General features: G+C 35.3%; 2 protein-coding genes across 26 annotated transcripts in view; one reads left to right on the top strand and one right to left on the bottom strand.

The window, feature by feature from the left end:
* MED12L (mediator complex subunit 12L) overlaps positions 1 to 19,457 on the top strand; it is a 350,990-nt gene that overhangs the window by 254,048 nt on the left and 77,485 nt on the right. For all 24 annotated transcript variants that reach the window (XM_017005676.2, NM_001393769.1, XM_017005678.2 and 21 more), the window contains 4 exons: positions 10,348 to 10,495; positions 15,410 to 15,528; positions 16,185 to 16,328; positions 17,502 to 17,665. In XM_017005676.2, coding sequence (XP_016861165.1) covers positions 10,348 to 10,495; positions 15,410 to 15,528; positions 16,185 to 16,328; positions 17,502 to 17,665 — 575 coding nt within the window. The remainder of the gene's footprint in view (positions 1 to 10,347; positions 10,496 to 15,409; positions 15,529 to 16,184; positions 16,329 to 17,501; positions 17,666 to 19,457) is intronic.
* P2RY12 (purinergic receptor P2Y12) overlaps positions 1 to 19,457 on the bottom strand; it is a 47,911-nt gene that overhangs the window by 2,869 nt on the left and 25,585 nt on the right. Inside the window, exon 2 of one of the 2 annotated variants that reach the window (NM_022788.5) lies at positions 885 to 1,049. The gene's annotated coding sequence lies outside the window, so the exon portion shown is untranslated. Of the gene's footprint in view, positions 1 to 884; positions 1,112 to 19,457 lie in introns of those variants that run through there. The other variant, NM_176876.3, reaches the window with a different exon arrangement.

Consider the following 19,457-nt stretch of genomic DNA (forward strand, 5'->3'; position numbering starts at 1 on the left):
GCATACTTTCCAGATTTATGGAGTGTGTAATGGTAGCTAAAATAAAATATAGGTTATTACCACAATAGGCAGCTATAATGAAAACTTAACAAGTGACTTGAATATGCTATATGGCATCTACATCTTGGGAATTTGAAATGACGTTTGTAATCTTTTTATTTCACCAGAGATAAGTGAAATTGATTCTATATAAAATATTCTTAATAATCAGAGATATATTGAAAGTACAAATAACAAATTTTAAAAAATAACTTTCGTGTAAAAGATATTTAGATAAATGAATGTAGCACTTAAATTCCCCAAAATGTCCATGGAATTCCTTTCTGTCCTTAATTATGGAAGGAAAACGATTAAGAATCATGTTGTCACAGTATGGCTTCAATTTTCAGCATCTCCTCACCTATTTAGCGCTTTAAAATAATGCTAAACAAAACCTAATGTTTTCCAATACAAGATCACTGATTTTAACCTTTCCTGCTACTGCTGTGTGGTCTTAGTTCATCCCTGACCGTTTTGGAAATTCGACTTAGTGAATATACATTTTGTGTAGTCTGTAAGATATTTAACAAGTATTCTTGACATTGAGAATTTCAGCTCCCTTTATCTGTATTTAAATCTCATTTTATACTTGAGGCAAAGTAACTAAGACCATTTATATTTTATTTCTATGCTTTGTATAATTTTTCTTAATAAAGAGGCTAATTAACAATTGTCTCTGACATCACTAATTAGACTTCTATTTTAATTATAATTTTTATTCCAAATACATGCTTGCATTGATAGTTATTAAGGTTTACAATTTTAAGAGAAACTTGGAAAAAATGTACACACATATCAGAGTGTAAATACATATATTTGTCAAGTACTTGTAGAAATAACATTACCTGATAACTGTTGATTCTGGAGGGTTTGAATGTATCCAGTAAGTAGTAGTTATTGCAACCTGCAGAGTGGCATCTGGTATTTTCCTTTTAATGTCTTAGTTTAGTTGCCAAACCTCTTTGTGATAGAGGATTTCCTGAGTTTTCGTCAGTAAAGTCTTGAGTGCTCTAGAGAGAAATAGAAGGAGAGAAAAAGAGGGCTTCACAATCAGAGATTGTCTTCAAACACTGGACTCAAAGCTATGCAGACACTGAATTTCTATCTGTCCTCTTTTAGGACTTCTGCTTTTATTTCCCAGGAAATGTGGGATGAGGATGGCTGAGAAGTCATCTTTTAAAAAGCAATTTAAAATCTTGCGGCTTTTTACTGAAACCTGCTATAGAGTTGATGATTTATAACTTCGAGTTATGGTTATTTTCTATGCAAATGATAAATCCAAGTTGAGATCAAGCCTTCGAAGTCTGCTTCCTGGAGAAGATTTTAAGCTTGCTTTCTTGGGTGGTTAATTTATCTGAAATATATTGTGTACAACACTGGGTGATGTATTTTCTTCTAACAAGTAATTATGTTAACTCAAAATGCGTGCTGGCTAGGGATGTTAAGTCTCTGGCCCTTTGTTTTTCCCTTGGTTAATAATGTCATTATTTTAAACCTGTGTTTGATTAACTCCTTTGTAGGTGAAACAGCTTCCTTCTATTATAAATTAGCAGATTCCAAAATTACATTAGAGAAGTGATTGTATCCATTGCCAGGCTTATTATATACTGTGTCGTTCATGCTTTTCTTGAATAGAATTTAAATATAAACAATTTTTTTTTGTTTCTTTACCTAACTTTGAGTTTTTGGGAAAATATAACATTAAATTAAGGCATCCTTGTATCACAATTATTTACAGTTGTTTAACTTTGAAACCAGAAGGGCAAAAAATATGTTAGGGGTGAGATTGAAGGGCAAAGTGTTTTGCTGCTTTAACTTTTTTTTTTTAATTTTATTATTATTATACGTTAAGTTTTAGGGTACATGTGCACAATGTGCAGGTTAGTTACATATGTATACATGTGCCATGCTGGTGTGCTACACCCATTAACTCGTCATTTAGCATTAGGTATATCTCCTAAAGCTATCCCTCCCCCATCCCCCCACCCCACAACAGTCCCCAGAGTGTAGTGTTTCCCTTCCTGTGTCCATGTGTTCTCATTGTTCAGTTCCCACCTATGAGTGAGAATATGTGGTGTTTGGTTTTTTGTTCTTGCGATAGTTTACTGAGAATGATGATTTCTAATTTCATCCATGTCCCTACAAAGGACATGAACTCATCATTTTTTATGGCTGCATAGTATTCCATGGTGTATATGTGCCACATTTTCTTAATCCAGTCTATCATTGTTGGACTTTTGGGTTGGTTCCAAGTCTTTGCTATTATGAATAGTGCCGCAATAAACATACGTGTGCATGTGTCTTTATAGCAGCATGACTTATAATCCTTTGGGTATATACCCAGTAATGGGATGGCTGGGTTAAATGGTATTTCTAGTTCTAGATCACTGAGGAATCACCACACTGACTTCCACAATGGTTGAACTAGTTTATAGTCCCACCAACAGTGTAAAAGTGTTCCTATTTCTCCACATCCTCTCCAACACCTGTGCTGCTTTAACTTTATGTAAATATTGCTTTGCAGAAACACACCTCCCTGGTGTCTCAAACTGCAGTGTCCTTCTGTTATCAGTGGGAATCATTTGTGTTGGTGCCTTTGCTGTGAACACGTTTTGGTTTTTTCTTCTGCGTTTTGAGTATTTGTCTATGTCTTTACATGTTAAATATCTTCATTGGTTTTCACAGTGCAGAGCAGCAGCTCTGCATCACTTGGGAACTTGCTAGAAATGCACATTTTTGGGCACCAATCTAGCTGAGTGAATAAAAAACTCTGGGGTGCCCCACCCTGCATCTGTATTTTAGTGAGCCTTCCATTGATGCTTGGTACACTCAAATGTGAGGACCACTGATTTAAATGGAATAAGAATTTTGTTGCCATTTAGAACTTGAAGCTATTAATATCAGTCACTTCAGACACATAATAATCCCCAAATGTTGGTCATCTTAAAGGGATTAGTTTGATATTAAACTCTTGGAAAGGGTTGTATTGTTATTTTTAAATATGACTATTGTAAACAAATCTTAGCCTTCCTTATTTGTTGGAGTCTCAAAATTTTAAAAAGAGCTTTTATGCTGTATGTACTTCAAATAATAATTGTCAATATTTAATTTCTTACACTGTCATGGATTAACTCACTTTATTAATAATCTCAACTATTCTCTGAAGTACGCGTATCATCCTCATTCTCTGGATGAGGGGAACTGAAGAGCAGAGCAGTGAAGTTAGATGGAGACCCCATTCTGACCTGTGCTGTCTAGTTAGCCTTAGAATCTGTATTTGTGTATTTCTGTACCTGAGAATCTTTCCCTATCACACCCTCTCCTCAACCCCTCTCCCACTAAGAGGCCCCAGTAGTGAGAAGTGAATCTCGTGTGGGATGGTTGTACGTCTTTCAATAAAATAAGGACCATACTCTCCTTTACAGCAAATTGTAAATGCTAAAGGATGTTTATGATGCTTTTTCTAAGACCATCAAATGAAACAAGGCTTATTCAAGAAAATGATTATTTTTAACAAATCAATCTGCCATATTACTAATTCAGAATACTTAAGTCATACTACCTTATTGAGAATTTATATTTCTAAACCTCTAGAAGGGCTAACAGTAGAGATTTGAGGGATAAAAGAAGGGCTTCAGTTCTTGATCTAAATTAACTTTATTTTTCCTCTGATTTTTAACTCACAACCACATACCTATTTACAAACCACCTCTGATAACATTTTTTCATTGGAGGAAGACTGCCAGTTAGACCACTTAATGCTGAAAGTGACTAAAATCTTTAAGTGAAAAGTATCTCAGTTACAGAAGTATATTTTCATATGAATAGAAGCAGAGCAAGTTATAGATACTTTAATCTCTCATTAGTAAATAACATCAACACATACAGTTTGTAGTTATTTGTGTTAGTGTTGGGAACAGAGCTAACTTTGGTTGGTTTGGTTATTTTGTATAATTGAGATGAGTTAGAAAAATGAACAGAATTTTTACTTTTAAGTGGCTTAACTGGTTTGTTTATTTTACCAAGTCTACTAAAGGTAGTCTGCTCATCTGAAAATGTTTGCTTCAAATGGGATTACTCTGAAACCTGTAGTCTTTTGGAACTGGGCAGGAGGATAGAGATATAATTATGACATTTGATAGCTCTTAGGCTGTTTTAGTTCCAGTGGTCTCTGGTTCTAAATGTGGTCATTTTGACATTAATATTTTGTTTGAGGGTGTGTATTTTAAAGCAGTGCATAGTCATGTCTGCTAGCTTGGCTTTATCCATTGGAATATAGAAATTTAGGTTAGATACCAACAGGTTCCAAAAGTAACGAGTCTTGGGCATTGAAATATTTCGCAAAAATGAATGCCGTCTTTTGTGACCTAGTTATCTGACATCCCAGTCTTAAGTGTTCTGCTTGCAAGAAGAGGACTAGTAGATATATAAATATCAGTCATACTGTGGACTATAAGCTGTGTAGAACAAAGATTTAATATACAAATGTAGTTAAATCCGCCTCCTATTTTCTTGATTTACAGAAAATATACTCTATGTATAGTTACTAATGATTAAAAAAAAACCTGTTAATTTCTTCATTCCTGTAACAGTTTCCTCATCCATGTGCACACCCATTCTTCCTCCCAGGCTCGAAGCTTATTCCTGATGGAACATTTATATGAACTTGTTTTATTCTAAACAAAATAGCATGGTATATTGAAAGATACAGCTGAAAGAAATAGTGTTTTAAGGCATCTTTTAAGAGTTATTTAATAAGCTAAAAATTTTAACTAAATGCATTTATTGTTTCTAAAGACTGGTTTTTACTGCTTTTCTTAGAGACGTGATAGGTTGCTATGTGCAGTTTACTTCCGGATATATACTGGATTTGCATTTGAAGTAGAGCATGCAAAAATTAGGAAGTACTGGGAAGTATGAAGTGCCATATTTTGTCTTATCAGAAGGACAATTACATCCACTTCATCTGTTTTTATTAGTGTTTGGAAGAAAGGAAGCGCATTCTGAGTGAGATCTTTTTCATTTTTCCTTAAGGACATTAGTAATTTAAAAATTCTATGATAATTGAATCATTGTTGAAATATCAGAAAATGTGAGTAAGGTGAAAGGATAATACACAGCTCTGATCATCTTACCATCATTATGACATCTTTGTCAACACATACACATTTTGGCAAAATTTCTAATCAGTTATTTTAAAGAAATAAAGATGAATTAGAGCAGACCTCAATTCCTTTAACTCCATTTCTTCTTTCTAAGGACATTTGGCTCAAGAGACATATTTTAATTCGTGTAGTACAACAAGCCTGCCAGGGTTTTGGGCATGCATGTTTCTAGTTTCTTCATCTATTAAGTTTCTGTGAGTATGAGATAATATCTGGAGAAAGAAAGTAATTGATCTAAAGGACGAGATTTTTAGAACTTAGTTTACATGGGAGATGACACATTCAATTCAATAGCAGCAGGTGGACTAGGATAAAAGAGGTAGCCTGACGTCTCCTGTAACAGACTCTCCAGTTGATGCTTTTCCTTGTCCAACAACTGTATCCTTGAGGGAATAAACAAGAGTAATTTTTGGGTGTTTATCTCAGATTATTAATATTACTTACAACTGTGCAACTTGAGGGCGTTTAAACACCAAGTTGAAAGAGCAGAAATCGTTGATACTTTTGAAAATATTTGGTATATTTTCTTAGGTTGACTTTATTCTCATTTGTTATGAATTGCTATTTGAAGGCTTCTACGTTTTCTTTCTTTTTTCTTTTTCTTTTTTTTTTTTTTTTTGAGACCAAGTTTTGCTCTTGTCACCCAGGCTGGAGTGCAATGGCACCATCTCGGCTCACTGCAACCTCTGCCTCCCAGGTTCAAGCAATTTTCCTGCCTCAGCCTCCCGAGTAGCTGAAATTATAGGCACCTGCCACCACGCCTGGCTAGTTTTTGTATTTTTAGTAGAGATGGAGTTTTCCCATGTTGGCCAGGCTGGTCTCGAACTCATGACCTCAGGTGATCCTCCACCTCAGCCTCCCAAAGTGCTGGGATTATAGATGTGAGCCACCATGCCCAGCCTACATTTTCTACTTGTATGAAAAACTGATGTAAACAAATCTTGTAGGCTCTTGAAAAATAGTAGCTTCTAAAATGCCTCTGCCTGTCCTATTTGAAGACTACTGTAGTAACACCTAGCATGAGTTCCCTGAAAATATTAATGCTAAGAAAGGAATACTGTCTTTACACCCCTTATAGAGGTTGAGCAGTGATTCTTTTCCAGCTCACTACGTGCTGCTTTTGCTTTCAGTTTTATCCCTGCATTCTCAACTCATGACTTTGTTCCTTGGCCCAACTCCCTGAGCATATCAAGGCCAAGGAATGATTTGAGCTTCTTAAGTGTCTTCTTCACCTCAAAATGTCTTTTTATTTTCACTAATTTTCTTTTTTTCCCGATGGTCAAGTAGAAAGATGTTCCTTTCTTTCTTTCCATATTAATCCAGCTAAGAGGCCATTGTCTCTTATATCCTTTATCATCAGTTATCTGTTCCCCAATCTTGATTTCTACTATGGAAATTTGTTTATTTGAAAGATAGGTCTGAAACAAGAGTCTTTTGATGATCTTCATAACGCTCTTTCCTCTCAAGCTGTTGTTCTTCATGCCCAACTCCTGGTAAATGTGGGTCACTTCCCTATCTTCACCATTTCATCATCACCTCTTACTTTAACCGCTTGTTTCTTAGCTTTGTGCCCTGCCACTTAGAGAAACTTCTTCTCCTTTGAGGTTCACACATGGTTTGTCAGTAAACAAGAAGTCACATCCATTGTGACTTCTTAACCTCACTGGACGTTGTCAGTGACACTCTTTCTTATGTATCCCCTCCCCTGACTTGTGTGACCCTGAATTATAGTATCTTGTTAATTAAGGAGCATGTATGTGCACCATTTGCTGGCTTATTTCTCCCCTCACCATCTCAGCTCTCTTAGCCCTTCTTCCCTAAACATAATGTGAAGGTTTTGCACCCCTCCCAGGACTTGACATACTGCCCTTATTCCTGAGCTGTCACCTCTGTGTTAGGGCCCATATCAAACCAATTACTGGACATTTACACATTTCTACCTACCCTTCAAATTCCTTGCAATTACATGTAAATTCAAAAGTTCCCTGCTGTTATAATGTATTAATTTTTTATACATTGTAAATAGATTAATAATAATTACTTGGTAATATAAACAATACTATTTATTAGTATACATTATAAATAATTTTAACTAGTGGATACATCTTGAAGTCCAGTGAGATGCACATTTACTCCTTGGGTTCAAAAGCCTGATCCTTTCCTAACTTCTTAGATACCTCTTCATTTTGCTTCTTAGTCTTCATTCCCACCACTAAAACTTAGTTCACCCTACAAACTTTTTTACTCTAGCTTTGTCTCTCACATCTCCCCTTCATTTTTCTCAACACTTAATCATCAGGTAAAGTTTCCTACAAAACTAATTTTTCTCCTTATCTTCACCTCTGCCCTATTCCTTTAGCTATATATTTGTTCATTAGTCTGCTTATTTTGTATTTAGTATGTTCAACAAATATTAGATGCTAATTCATTGCCTATTAAGGAGATTATAAAAATGAACAAAACAGACATGGAGTCTTCCACAAAATTTACACACTAATGAGGAAGACAGACATTAAACAAATACCTAGAAAATAAGTGAATTATACTGTAATAAATGCTCCAAAGTCTACTTCCCCTCCTTCTGTGGGGAGGTTTTCAATAAACTGGAGTGACAGAGTGAGGGAACTGACACTGTATTTGTACATAGCATTTCAGCAAGTGAAATCGTGGCTATGAGAGTATTTTAGGTGTAAGGACGAGCAACAGCAAAGGGAGGAAGTGCCCTGGAGTCTTGGTGAAATGTTGAGTAAGGCAGTTCGGTGTGGGTGTGGGGGATGTGCAGAGGAGGAGGGGAAGTCTAGCATGTGAATTAACAGTAGTGAACACTGTCCATTATACTTCGAAGCATTTTACACGCTTTATCCCAGGTTTTCTCACAAAAACCTTACAAGGAAGCGATGTTACCCCATTTTTCAGAGGAAGAATTAGAGGTTTAGAAAGGTTTATTATTCGAGATCATGGACTTGGCAAGTGGCACAACCAGTATGCAGTCACAGCTCTCTTACCCCAAGCTTGGGCTATTATCAGTAAATTTGGAGCCATAGTGATCCTGTGCGATGTGAGGAGCACGTGGCTCTTTCTAGGATGCTTTCCTTCACCACCCCTCTTTGGACTTCTAGGTCTGTAAATACTACTTTGATGACATTGAATCTGTGCTCCTTGAAGACAGGAATCATTCATCCTTGTATTTTTTCAGGGCTCCTAGCATTTTGTCTTGCCTCAAATAGATATTCTATAAACAGTTACTGAATAACTATGCTACAGTCATCAGCCTTCACATGGACATTTACATTAGGACCATCTGATATGCCTTAACTGAAAACAATTGCCAAAGCATGTGACTGGCACTGCCTTCATTTTTCATAATTTTATTAGTGCCCCCCTGTTTCCTTCCTAGGGTTCATATGTACACAAACCACCAGACCAAAAAAAAAAAAAAAAAAAAAAAGAAAAAAGAAATATATCAGTAATTCTCTGTAGCAACAACGAAAATGGGAAATTAGCAAGCAGCTCAGCTCATTCAGATGCGCAGCCAGCTCTAGGGATCACTGCTTATGTCATTTGTATCCTATGATTAGGAATATCTTTTGAAAATTTGGGAGAGGTACTCAGGATATTAAATAAGAACAGCTTCTAAGAGAAACTCGCTCCTAGCTTCTTTTTTTTTTTTTTGGAGGCAAATTTGAACACCTGAAACATTAAGAATCATTTGGGGGTGGGGAATAGATAGATTGGCAGGGCATATAAATGTTTATTTCTTGTAATGTATAATAAAAAAGGAACCAGTGCAATGGGAAGCAGTGGCAAGTGTGTCCCTGAGAAAGACAGACCGACACAAAGACTGAGAGCCAAGTAACAGAATTGGAGAGAGAAAAACAGGCGCTTAGTTTAACGCTACAGAAGCAATATGCTACTTTGTGCAGAGTACACATGTGAAGTACTCCAGGTCAAACATTGGACTTCTCCTAGTCTGAGGTTTTTGTTCTTTGTTGCTGCCACTGCTAATTAGGAACACAGTGCAGTTTGTTTTCTCTGTGAGGAATTCTTTTCTCATATAAGCTCCTTAGGATAAGATGGATGCTGTTGGGAAGGGTAAGTGCTTGCCATGGGCAAAAATATACATAGAGTAAGAAAAGGAGGTTTACCAAAGGATAGATTTGGACATTTTCTAAGAAAATGGAAGATTATAAGATCCAAGAGAGAAATTGCTATAGAAAGATTCAGAGCCAGGCACAAGAGAGGGCACATCTTGGACTCTGTTACTTTGGCTGAGGAATGTGTTCAGTGGTGTGCATATGCTTTCGTTATGCTGTGACTAAATTTCTTTCCCACGTGGGGAAAAAAATGGTGCTTGGATTCACTGTGCCTATGGGGTGGTGGTGGAGAGGTGGTCCAGAAGGGAAGAGTGGTGATGTCAGAACATGTTTGCATTTTCAGCTGTTTGCCTCACACCTAATGACACCTACACGCTTTATTGTTTTGTCTTTTGGAAATAAATATACATGTATCTCACACAGTCATGTTGGAAATAAATGGAATATATATAGTTTTGTAGAGATGAAGTCTTGCTCTTTTCCAGGCTGGTCTTGAGCTCCTGTCCTCAAGAGATCCTCCCACCTTGGCCTCCCAAAGCACTGGGATTACAGACAGGAGCCACTGCACCCTGTCCAGGAATATTTTTTATAAAGGTGTTTGAGGATCCTAGCAAGATATTTTTCCCTAAATGTAAATATTTACTATTGCTATATATAAAACCAGGCTTATGAAGAGATAACATTTTCCTTAAGGGAAAAATATGACTAGACAATATGTTACATGATGTGAAATTAATACCATGTTCAATTTTAAACAATGAAAAGTTTTTCAATAGCCAAAACTTACTTTGTAGGGTACGCCCACATCAAGTGCTTCTATTAAGACTTCAGGTCAGTTGACACTTTTTTTTTTTTTTTTATAATGTTAGCAAGTTCCAAACTGGAAAAACAAGGGTGTTGCCAGTGGAGGTTGAGGTGAATTGAAGGGAGGGCGGGATGCCACCACCGCAAGCCAGCATGGAGGTGCTGTGGTCAGTGCATTTCAGGGATATGAAATGCAACCCCACCCCTGCAGACAAGAGTTTCAGAATGCATTTTCTGTTTTTCAGGATGAATCTTCAAGTCATGAATGTAACCAGCGCACAATCCTTCTCTATGGAGTCGGCAAAGAGCGTGATGAAGCAAGGCATCAGCTGAAGAAGATTACCAAAGATATCCTGAAAATTCTAAATAAGAAGAGCACCACAGAGACAGGGGGTAAAGAACCTTAATGCATTTGCTCCCATTGTGTTGCCTTTTGCCTTCCCTCTGAGCACAGTCTTTATCAAAGTGTTCTATGTCACTGTCAACAGAGCGTTTCCCCTCCTGAATGACTCTCACATTGAAATGTGAACAAGCACATTTAAATTTTAAAGCCTTGTTTCCATTTATAGCAACCCTTGTATTAAAATATTAATACAAGGTATTAATATTAAATATTATTTTATTAAAATATTGTATTCCATAGGTAGGTGTAGGTAATTTATTCTGATTTTTGGTATACTTCTCAAATTTTCTATAGTAGTAATAAATGAAGTACTGAAGAATGAGTTGAAAACCTTTAGTCTGGAAGAGATCCATTTCTCTGTTTCTTTACCATAATTTTCCAAGCTTGTGGTTAGTTTTTTTTCTGGGGCACTCACATTTGCATGTTAATTGAAAATCATGACAGCATATTTGCTCACCTTTTCTTGCATTATTGAGAAAAATGATTGCAGTAGGTAGTGATGGCTACCTATATCTCCAAATGATTTCAAATAAAAGAATTTGATCTTTGCTCTATAATGTCTTCTTTAGTTGAAATGCTCTTTCCTCATCCTTTTGACATAGTTTTTACAGTGAAGCTGTGCCTTTATGTTGTATCACCACATTGCATAATTGGAATTTTGTAATTATCCACTTCACGTTTGCCTAATTATTCTTTTCAAGGTTTGTTTATTTCATTAGGCAATCAAATTATTTTAAATATATAATTAGGTATCCTGCTACCACCACTGGTGTTTATTTCTCTAATACTTAAATCATAGAAGGAAAAAGAAAGTTTGTGTTTACTCTATGTAAACAACATTCTTCCTGCACGTGGTATAAACCACCTCTAGGAGCCCTACTGTTCTGTAGTACATATACTTTTTTATGGACTCTTCACAGGAGATCCAGTTCCTAGACTTTAGCAGGATAAATTGCTAGAATTTGTCCACCCTAGATCTTTACTAGAGAAAAATACAGATCTTAATAATGAAGATAGGTTCTCTTTCTTCCCGGTCAATCATGGTGCACATGCAGAAACATGGTACAAGAGGCAGTGTGTTTCTATCTGCATATGGCATTCTGGGTATCTGATGTCAGAGGTGATAGTCCTCAGAACACAGTGGGAAAGTTATCCTTCCTGTTATTCACATCACCTTCCCTAACTCCCTTCCATTCCCAGTTAAGGGCTTTGAAATACCTCAGCTCTCTGAGGAAGCAACCAAGAGTTGTGGAAGGGAAATGAAACCTTCTTGTTGATGTGTCATTATTGAGTTTGAAAAAAGAAAGTGCTCTGTCTAAGAAAACTGTTTATCTGTTGTTTTGGTGTTTTCTCTGTCTTAGAGAAAAGAGGAAACAGTTGCATTTAGAAGATTGAATTTAGAAGCCCTGAAACTAGCTAGCAAAGAATATTTAAAACTACTTTTGGTATACTTGGCAATGGGGTAGGGGGGAGTCAGTATTTCCTTCAGGAGGTTCGTAATACATATTTTATCTAAATTATTTTTAGAGGGTCTTTCCAGAGCCTATGGAACTTTTTAGAAGGCTTGAGGGGTATGGGAAGGGGAAGGAAGCAATGTGGTATCCTTTTCTGTTGAGCGTACTAACTTCCTTCACAGCTTTTTAATGCCACACTATAGTTTGTCCTGTCTTTGTAGCAGTCCCTCAAATAGGCAATTCTAGCATATGAACTCACAAAGCGAAAAACATTGTTGTTCTGTGCTGCCTTTTGAGAAACAGGTGAGGTATTCCTTATACGAAGTGCTTGGGACCAGAAGGGTTTTGGATTTTGGATAGTTTCACATTTTTGAATATTTGCATATATAATGAGAAATCTTGGGGATGAGACCCAAGTCTAAACATGAAACTCATTTATGTTTCATATACACTTTATATACATACCCTGAAGGTAATTTTATTTTTCTCTTGGGGATGCTTAATAAACTGTGTTGTGTGTCTACATTTTGACTGTGACCTGTTATGTGAGATCAAGTGTGGAATTTTCTACTTGTGACATTATGTCTGCACTCAAAGTTTCATATTTTGGAGAATTTCAGATTTTGGATTCTCAGAATAGGGATCCTCAACCTTTTTCAGTAAATAGAAACATCATCTGTGGAACCACATCGTTGGGAGGGGATTTTTGACTTTCTTTCATTTTAGATAAAGTTCCTTAACCAGAAAGCTGTTAATTTGGGATGTAGTGAGCTGCTGTATTGTAAATAATCTTAATTTTAAGTCACTAGTTAAAACTTAGTGTAAGCACCAGAAATTAGCTAACTGTACTTCATATTAATGGAAATATGCCCACTTTTTTCAGCAACATGAGTACTGGTAAGGAAAACAGACCTTGTGTTAGCATGTATTTGATTTCTGGGAACACATGAAAATAATATTTTGAGGAACCAACTCATTTAGGAGTGTTGTCAGATCAGCCAGGTCTTGCCTAGGGGAATTTATAGTATAAAGTTTAAATAACATTTCCAGTTGAATGATCAAAGTTCATTTTTCATTTGCCTTGACCAGTTATCTTTTTTGGTTGTCAATGGTGTATCTTTTGAAAATATTAGTGAAGTTTACTATGACAACCTTTAAGAGGCTAAAGTTTCAGGACTTAAAGATTTTTAAAAAAGAAAATCAAAATTAAGCAACAAAAGAGCAATAATATGTTATAAAAGCAAATTAACATAAGAAAGATGAGGAAAAATATATATTGACTATAATGTTACTCATGTAAATATCATTAAAATAAAGTATTTCGTTGAGAATCACCACTGATTTCTTACATTTTGCTGTTAAAATGAGTATAAATTGCTAAGAACCAATTACATTCTTTTACATGAAGTTTTAAGAAGTTAGTGATACATAGATAAATGGAGTCCATTAACACAAACAAATAAAAAGGTGCACTTGGGAGTTTTTAGTAGGATCTACTTCTTTAAGTCTGTTGTTATTATTTGTTTTGTCCCAGGAAGAACTGAATCAATGCATTAATTTCACTTTTAAGGCATTTTGTGCACAAGACTATTGATGTTAGCTCTTCAGCCTTGGATCAAAGATGTTAGTAAATGAAAAATTCAAAACTTGGTTATTTTAAACATGCTCATGACATGTGAGCAGCTACAGTGAAGGCAAAATTTCATACATAATTTGTACTTTTGAGAATAGACATTGAAAAAATAAGCAGGTTTAATGAATTTGTTAGTTCCTAATCTTTGCATTATATTTGGTGTTACTGGCCAAAAGTGGCACAAGCTTGTAACTTATGTTACCCCAGCACCTTTAAATTCTGATGTACTCTAGCATCAAGGTTTCTTTGTTAGGGAATTAGAAAAGAACCAGCCTTGTGGTGTTTTGTTTTATTTTGTTTTTGACTGTAACCACTAATTGCTTATTGTTGAAAGAGAAGTCTCTTTTATTTTCATGTTATTGTTTAAGACCATTACATTTGCCATTAGCAAAATATTTTTGAGTTCAGTGAAATCTTGTTCATTTCTTGTGTCTTTAATAGAGAAATCTGTAAAGTAACCTTTGTTCTCTGAAATTAAACTTTCCTAAAGAAGACGACAGTGTGAGGAGTAGAACTCTTGTCTTGGTAGCCTTTAACTACTTAGAATCACAGTGCTGGCCGGGCGCGGTGGCTCACGCCTGTAATCCCAGCACTTTGGGAGGCCGAGGCGGGCGGATCACGAGGTCAGGAGATCGAGACCATCCCGGCTAACACGGTGAAACCCCGTCTCTACTAAAAATACAAAAAATTAGCCGGGCGTAGTGGCGGGCGCCTGTAGTCCCAGCTACTTGGGAGGCTGAGGCAGGAGAATGGCGTGAACCCGGGAGGCGGAGCTTGCAGTGAGCCGAGATCCCGCCACTGCACTCCAGCCTGGGCGACAGAGCGAGACTCCGTCTCAAAAAAAAAAAAAAAAAAAAAAAAGAATCACAGTGCTAGAAATGACATTATCAATCATATATCCAACTTTTCCTTTTTGTTTTTAGATTTGTCTTTGTAAACATAAAATATTAAAGTATTTAAAAGCAGGATTGAAGCTAGCTTTGGATTTTATTGTTAGAACAGTTAAGAAGAGTACCCCTAGAATAAGCAATGCTTATTTTTTTTAATTGGAATTTTCTTCAAACCTCTTTATGCTAATTTGATAAACATGTCACTTCTTCATTAATGTGGAATGATTTAATTTTTTGCCACTATTAAAAAAGGAATCATGTAATTTCTTTTTTAAAAAATATATTAAACTGTGTCAGAAAAGTAACAAGATGAGTCTCCAAAGAAGATGCCAAGCAAGTGTTTGATTAAGTCAAAGTGAGCCCAGGAGATCTCCCCACCTTCATTGTGGATATCATTGTAATTTAAAAGTTGTTTAGTGAGAAATGTTTATAAAGGCACTTTTTATGATAGCTAAAATCTGGAAACTACTCACTAGAATGGTTAAGTAAATGGTGGTACAGTAACACATTGGAATACTGTAAATAAGTGAGAATTATTAGTTTTTAGAACACATTAAAATTACCTCAGCAACATGAATCAATCTTAAAAGCATACTGTTGATTGCAAGATGCCAGATGTGGAAAGCATATACTATATGATTTCCTTTATATATAAAGTTCCAGTGTAGGCAATAGCAATCTAAGTTGTTAGGTGTCAGGATTTTGATCTCCTAGGGAGGGAGACATGCCTAGAGAGGCCTGAGGGAGTTTCTGAGATTCCATTCTGTTACTTTGCATTCAAGTCTTATTGTGTATTTATTTTATTGAAATTCATAGAATTTGTGCACTTTTCTGTATGTATGCTATACTTTAAAAAAAAGTATCCATTAAAAATGTCGAGAGCTTCTATTAAATGGAAAATAATGGATCTGCTTTATGTTTATGTAGTTGGGGACGAAGGACAAAAAGCCAGGAAGAACAAACAGGAGACATTTCCAACACTGGAGACTGTGTTCACTAAACTCCAGCTCCTTTCATATTTTGATCAACATCAAGTGACATCTCAGGTAGCTATTTAAAGCTGTTTATTATGCATTTGCAGTATTCTAATTTACTTAAAAATTTTTTTCATGCAGTATATTTTCTCAACCTTAATGGTTTTAGACATATATTTTATAAACATACTTGGAAGTATCTCAGACTATTGAGTAGTTCTTTTAAGTGTCAGGTTGCCTTCCTCGAAGGATTAATTTTTATTATGTACTTTTTTTGTCCTTATGATAATAATCGGTGACATATAAAGTAATAGCTAATGAAATAGTTAGGTTATTAGAGTTTGGTCCTATATTGCAATTGATGAGAAATCTGTTGATGATTGAAATAAAATACTACGACATTGAGAAGAAAACACATCTGTTTTGCTTTACAAATCCATTGATATTCAAATGGTTGTGTCTAAAAATTAATATTTGTAGTTGTTCTACCATTAGAATACTTAAGATTTAGGTCTGAATGACAACTTTTTGTATTTTTTAAAATTGTAGTTATGAAGAAATCATTTTCTTTGTACATAGTTTTATAGTTTCTATAGAAACACGTTTTGACTTTCGTCAAAGTAGAATCATGTATAGATTCAACTGTCTTAAAAAGTAAAAATGATTTATCTTAGTAAAAGATTATTTAGAATATTGGTCTTACAATATTTTTGTTTTTATTTGCACAGATTTCTAACAATGTGCTAGAACAAATCACAAGCTTTGCGTCAGGAACATCCTATCATCTCCCTTTGGCTCACCACATTCAGCTCATCTTTGATCTCATGGAGCCAGCACTGAACATCAACGGACTAATTGACTTCGCAATACAGGTGTCAAAGAGACCATGTTTCTCTTACTTTTAGGAAAGCAAATCCACCAGGCATTGTGCAATTTAAAGTGAGCCAATTAGCTGGGCACAGTGGCTTGTGCTTGTAATCCTGGCACTTTGGGAGGCCGAGGTAGGAGGATTGCTTGAATCTAGGAGTTTTAGACCAGCCTGGGCAACTTAGTGAGACCCCATCTCCACAAAAAATTTAAAAATTAGCTGGTTGCATGCCTGTAGTCCCAGCTACTTGGGAGGCTGAGGCAGGAGACTCACTTAAGCCCAGGAGGTCAAGGATGCAATAAGCCATGATCATACAACTGCACTCAAGCCTATGGGACAGTGCAAGGCCCTGTCTCAAAAATAAATAAATAAATAAAATTTAAAAAATAAAAATCAATGAACCAATTGCTGTACATTAACATCATTTTAGGGACATAGTACAATTTTGAATAATTTAGACATTGTGAATTAACAGTCTTAAACTAACATTTTATTTAAAGTTGTGTTCATAGTTTTCAATTAAATAATTATCATTGGTGCCAAAATATATACCATTTAAAAATGTGAGAGTTTTGAGTGTTTCTTCTGTTTTTTTTTGTTGTTGTTGTTGTTTTTCTTTTGGTCTTTGTTATTTTCCTGAAGCAAAGATGAAAGTTTATTTGCTCTTTATAATAGAGCATGTTTTAGGTTAAGAGCCAGAACAAACCTTATGATTTGATTTGCCCCACTGTGTTATTTCTTATGCACATTTGAGTTCATTATTTCCTTCTGCTATTAGCAAACAGAAATAAGACTTGGTTTCCTTTGTTTATTTTATAGGAGATATTAACTTTGTTAATGAAAAGAAAAGCCAAATAACTTTCATTTTATTAAAAAGACAAAGGGGAGAAAAGTGAGGGGTGGGGTTTTCTAAAATTATACAGTCCAGGACCTTGCACTGCCCTGAAGTTTCAGTACCTTATTTCAGCACTGGGTACTTCCTAATTGTATACATCCTGATGTCTAGACAGAAGAACAACTCTATAAATTGGAAAAGGATTAAAAATTTTAAAAAAGTTAAATTTAGGGAATGTATTTGTAGTGTAATGACTCAGTATATCTATGGTTTATAAAAATAAATGTTTTCTCTATTTGTTTTGGCACCTACATGTTTATTCAGTCTTTTCTCCTGTTACAGTTACTAAATGAACTGAGTGTTGTGGAAGCTGAACTGCTCCTAAAATCCTCCAGCCTGGCAGGAAGTTATACAACAGGACTGTGTGTCTGCATCGTGGCTGTTCTCAGGCGCTATCACAGTTGTCTAATCTTGAATCCTGATCAGACAGCCCAGGTGTTTGAAGGGTTGGTATATAGCATGTCATTGTTGTTTTTCCAATCTCAGAATGTATAACTAGTGATGAAATATTATAGTGGCTTTAAAAGAAAAATAGTACTGATACCTGTTTTAGTTAAAACATGGTTAAAGAACACTCTTGCCAGAAAACATCGATCAAAAAGGTCTAAGCATGTAAAGTATGTTCTTTCTAATAATGTGTGATTCCTTCTTCCCTTCCTCCTTGCCTTTCTTCCCTCTCCCTGGTTTCTAAGTACAAAGCTAGTCATTTATAGCACTCTACGGTTAATGTTGGCCAGCATCCTGGCATATTATGAATAGTGAATGCTGTAACTTCTTTATTCATGTAATTTCAGTTTATGTTTGCAGACTCAACATCAAATAAGCTTTGCATACATTATCATCTTAGAAATTTGGTTCTTCAATTGCATTTCTTTGATTAAAGATATCTTTTGATAAGAATTAACCTAGAACAAATTACTTCATTTTCAGTTGTAGGCTGGGGCTTACTCTACTAATGAAGTTGAGCTACAGAATTAGCTAATACCACCCCCATTAAAGACTGAGGCTAAGGCACCAAATTAGTGTAAATGAGCTCTCAAAAACTTACATAAGCTGCTTTTTATCCACTCTCCAGGGCTTTTTATTTAAACACAGAAAGACAACCTGTTATTTCTTTCTCTTCAGTTTTTCCTTCTGAGCTCAAAAGAATCATGGGGTTCTTTGGTTTTATAGTACCTTTTATTTTTTTAATCTAGCACATGTAATCAATTTATATGCTATCCTAGAATGATATCAATTTAACAGTAGCTATTCTGGGAAAGAGGAAATGCTACCTTTATTTGTATTAATTACATGTTATGAAATGAAATCTGAAACATCCTAAAAACATCAGAATGTAAGAATATTTACATATTAGAATTCAGGAAATAGAGAATTATTTAATAACTCAGCTACTGTATAAAGTTTGAATTTAGTATTATTTTACAGCCCAGGAAATTGAGATTCAGGCCTGTTAAGTGTTTGGTGAAGTGATGTACCCTATATCACATAGCTAATAAATCTCACAGATTTTAATAAAAATCTTTCGAACTGGAAGCTTATTCATGCTGTTTAATCTATGTTCTACTTTTAAAATAGTATATTGAAACCCATTAGTTGGTCATGAAATGAATTTAATGGGTTGTGACAAGTTTTTTTGTTTTTGTTTTTTGTTTTTAATATTGTTATTTTGAAATTGATTTCAGTATCATTTAGTTTGGCCTTGAAAATTTTTATCCTGTTAAATATTCATAAAATCATATTTGACATTAACTTTGTTGTATTTTTACCTTATATTAGTAAGGGTAAGTATTATGCTTAAAACTATTATTTCACTTCTTCGTACTTATGTGAACAGTACACTGGATTACGATGTGAAATGTTTTTCTTATTGCTTGCAAATCAAAGAAGTTGAGGAAACACTGACTACTATACGATGGATACCTAAACCTAACAGACTCTGAATAAATGTTTATTTACTTTAGTCACAAAATAATTTTTCGCTTTATAGATAATATCAGGATTTTGTTTAACTTTTATTTTAGAACAGATTTATTACAGGTTTATTACAAAGGTATATTGCTTGGTGCTGAGGTTTCAGGTTATGATTGAAACCATCAGGAAGTGAGCATAGTACTCAGTAGGTAGTTTTGCAGACCTTTCCTCTGCTCTCTGTCTCCCCACTTCAGTAGTCCCCAGTGTCTGTTGTTCTCATCCTTATGTCCACGTGTACCTCATGCTTAGCTCCCACTTACAGTG

The sequence above is a fragment of the Homo sapiens genome, chromosome 3 (genome assembly GCF_000001405.40).
Source record: "Homo sapiens chromosome 3, GRCh38.p14 Primary Assembly".
Lineage (NCBI taxonomy): Eukaryota > Metazoa > Chordata > Mammalia > Primates > Hominidae > Homo > Homo sapiens.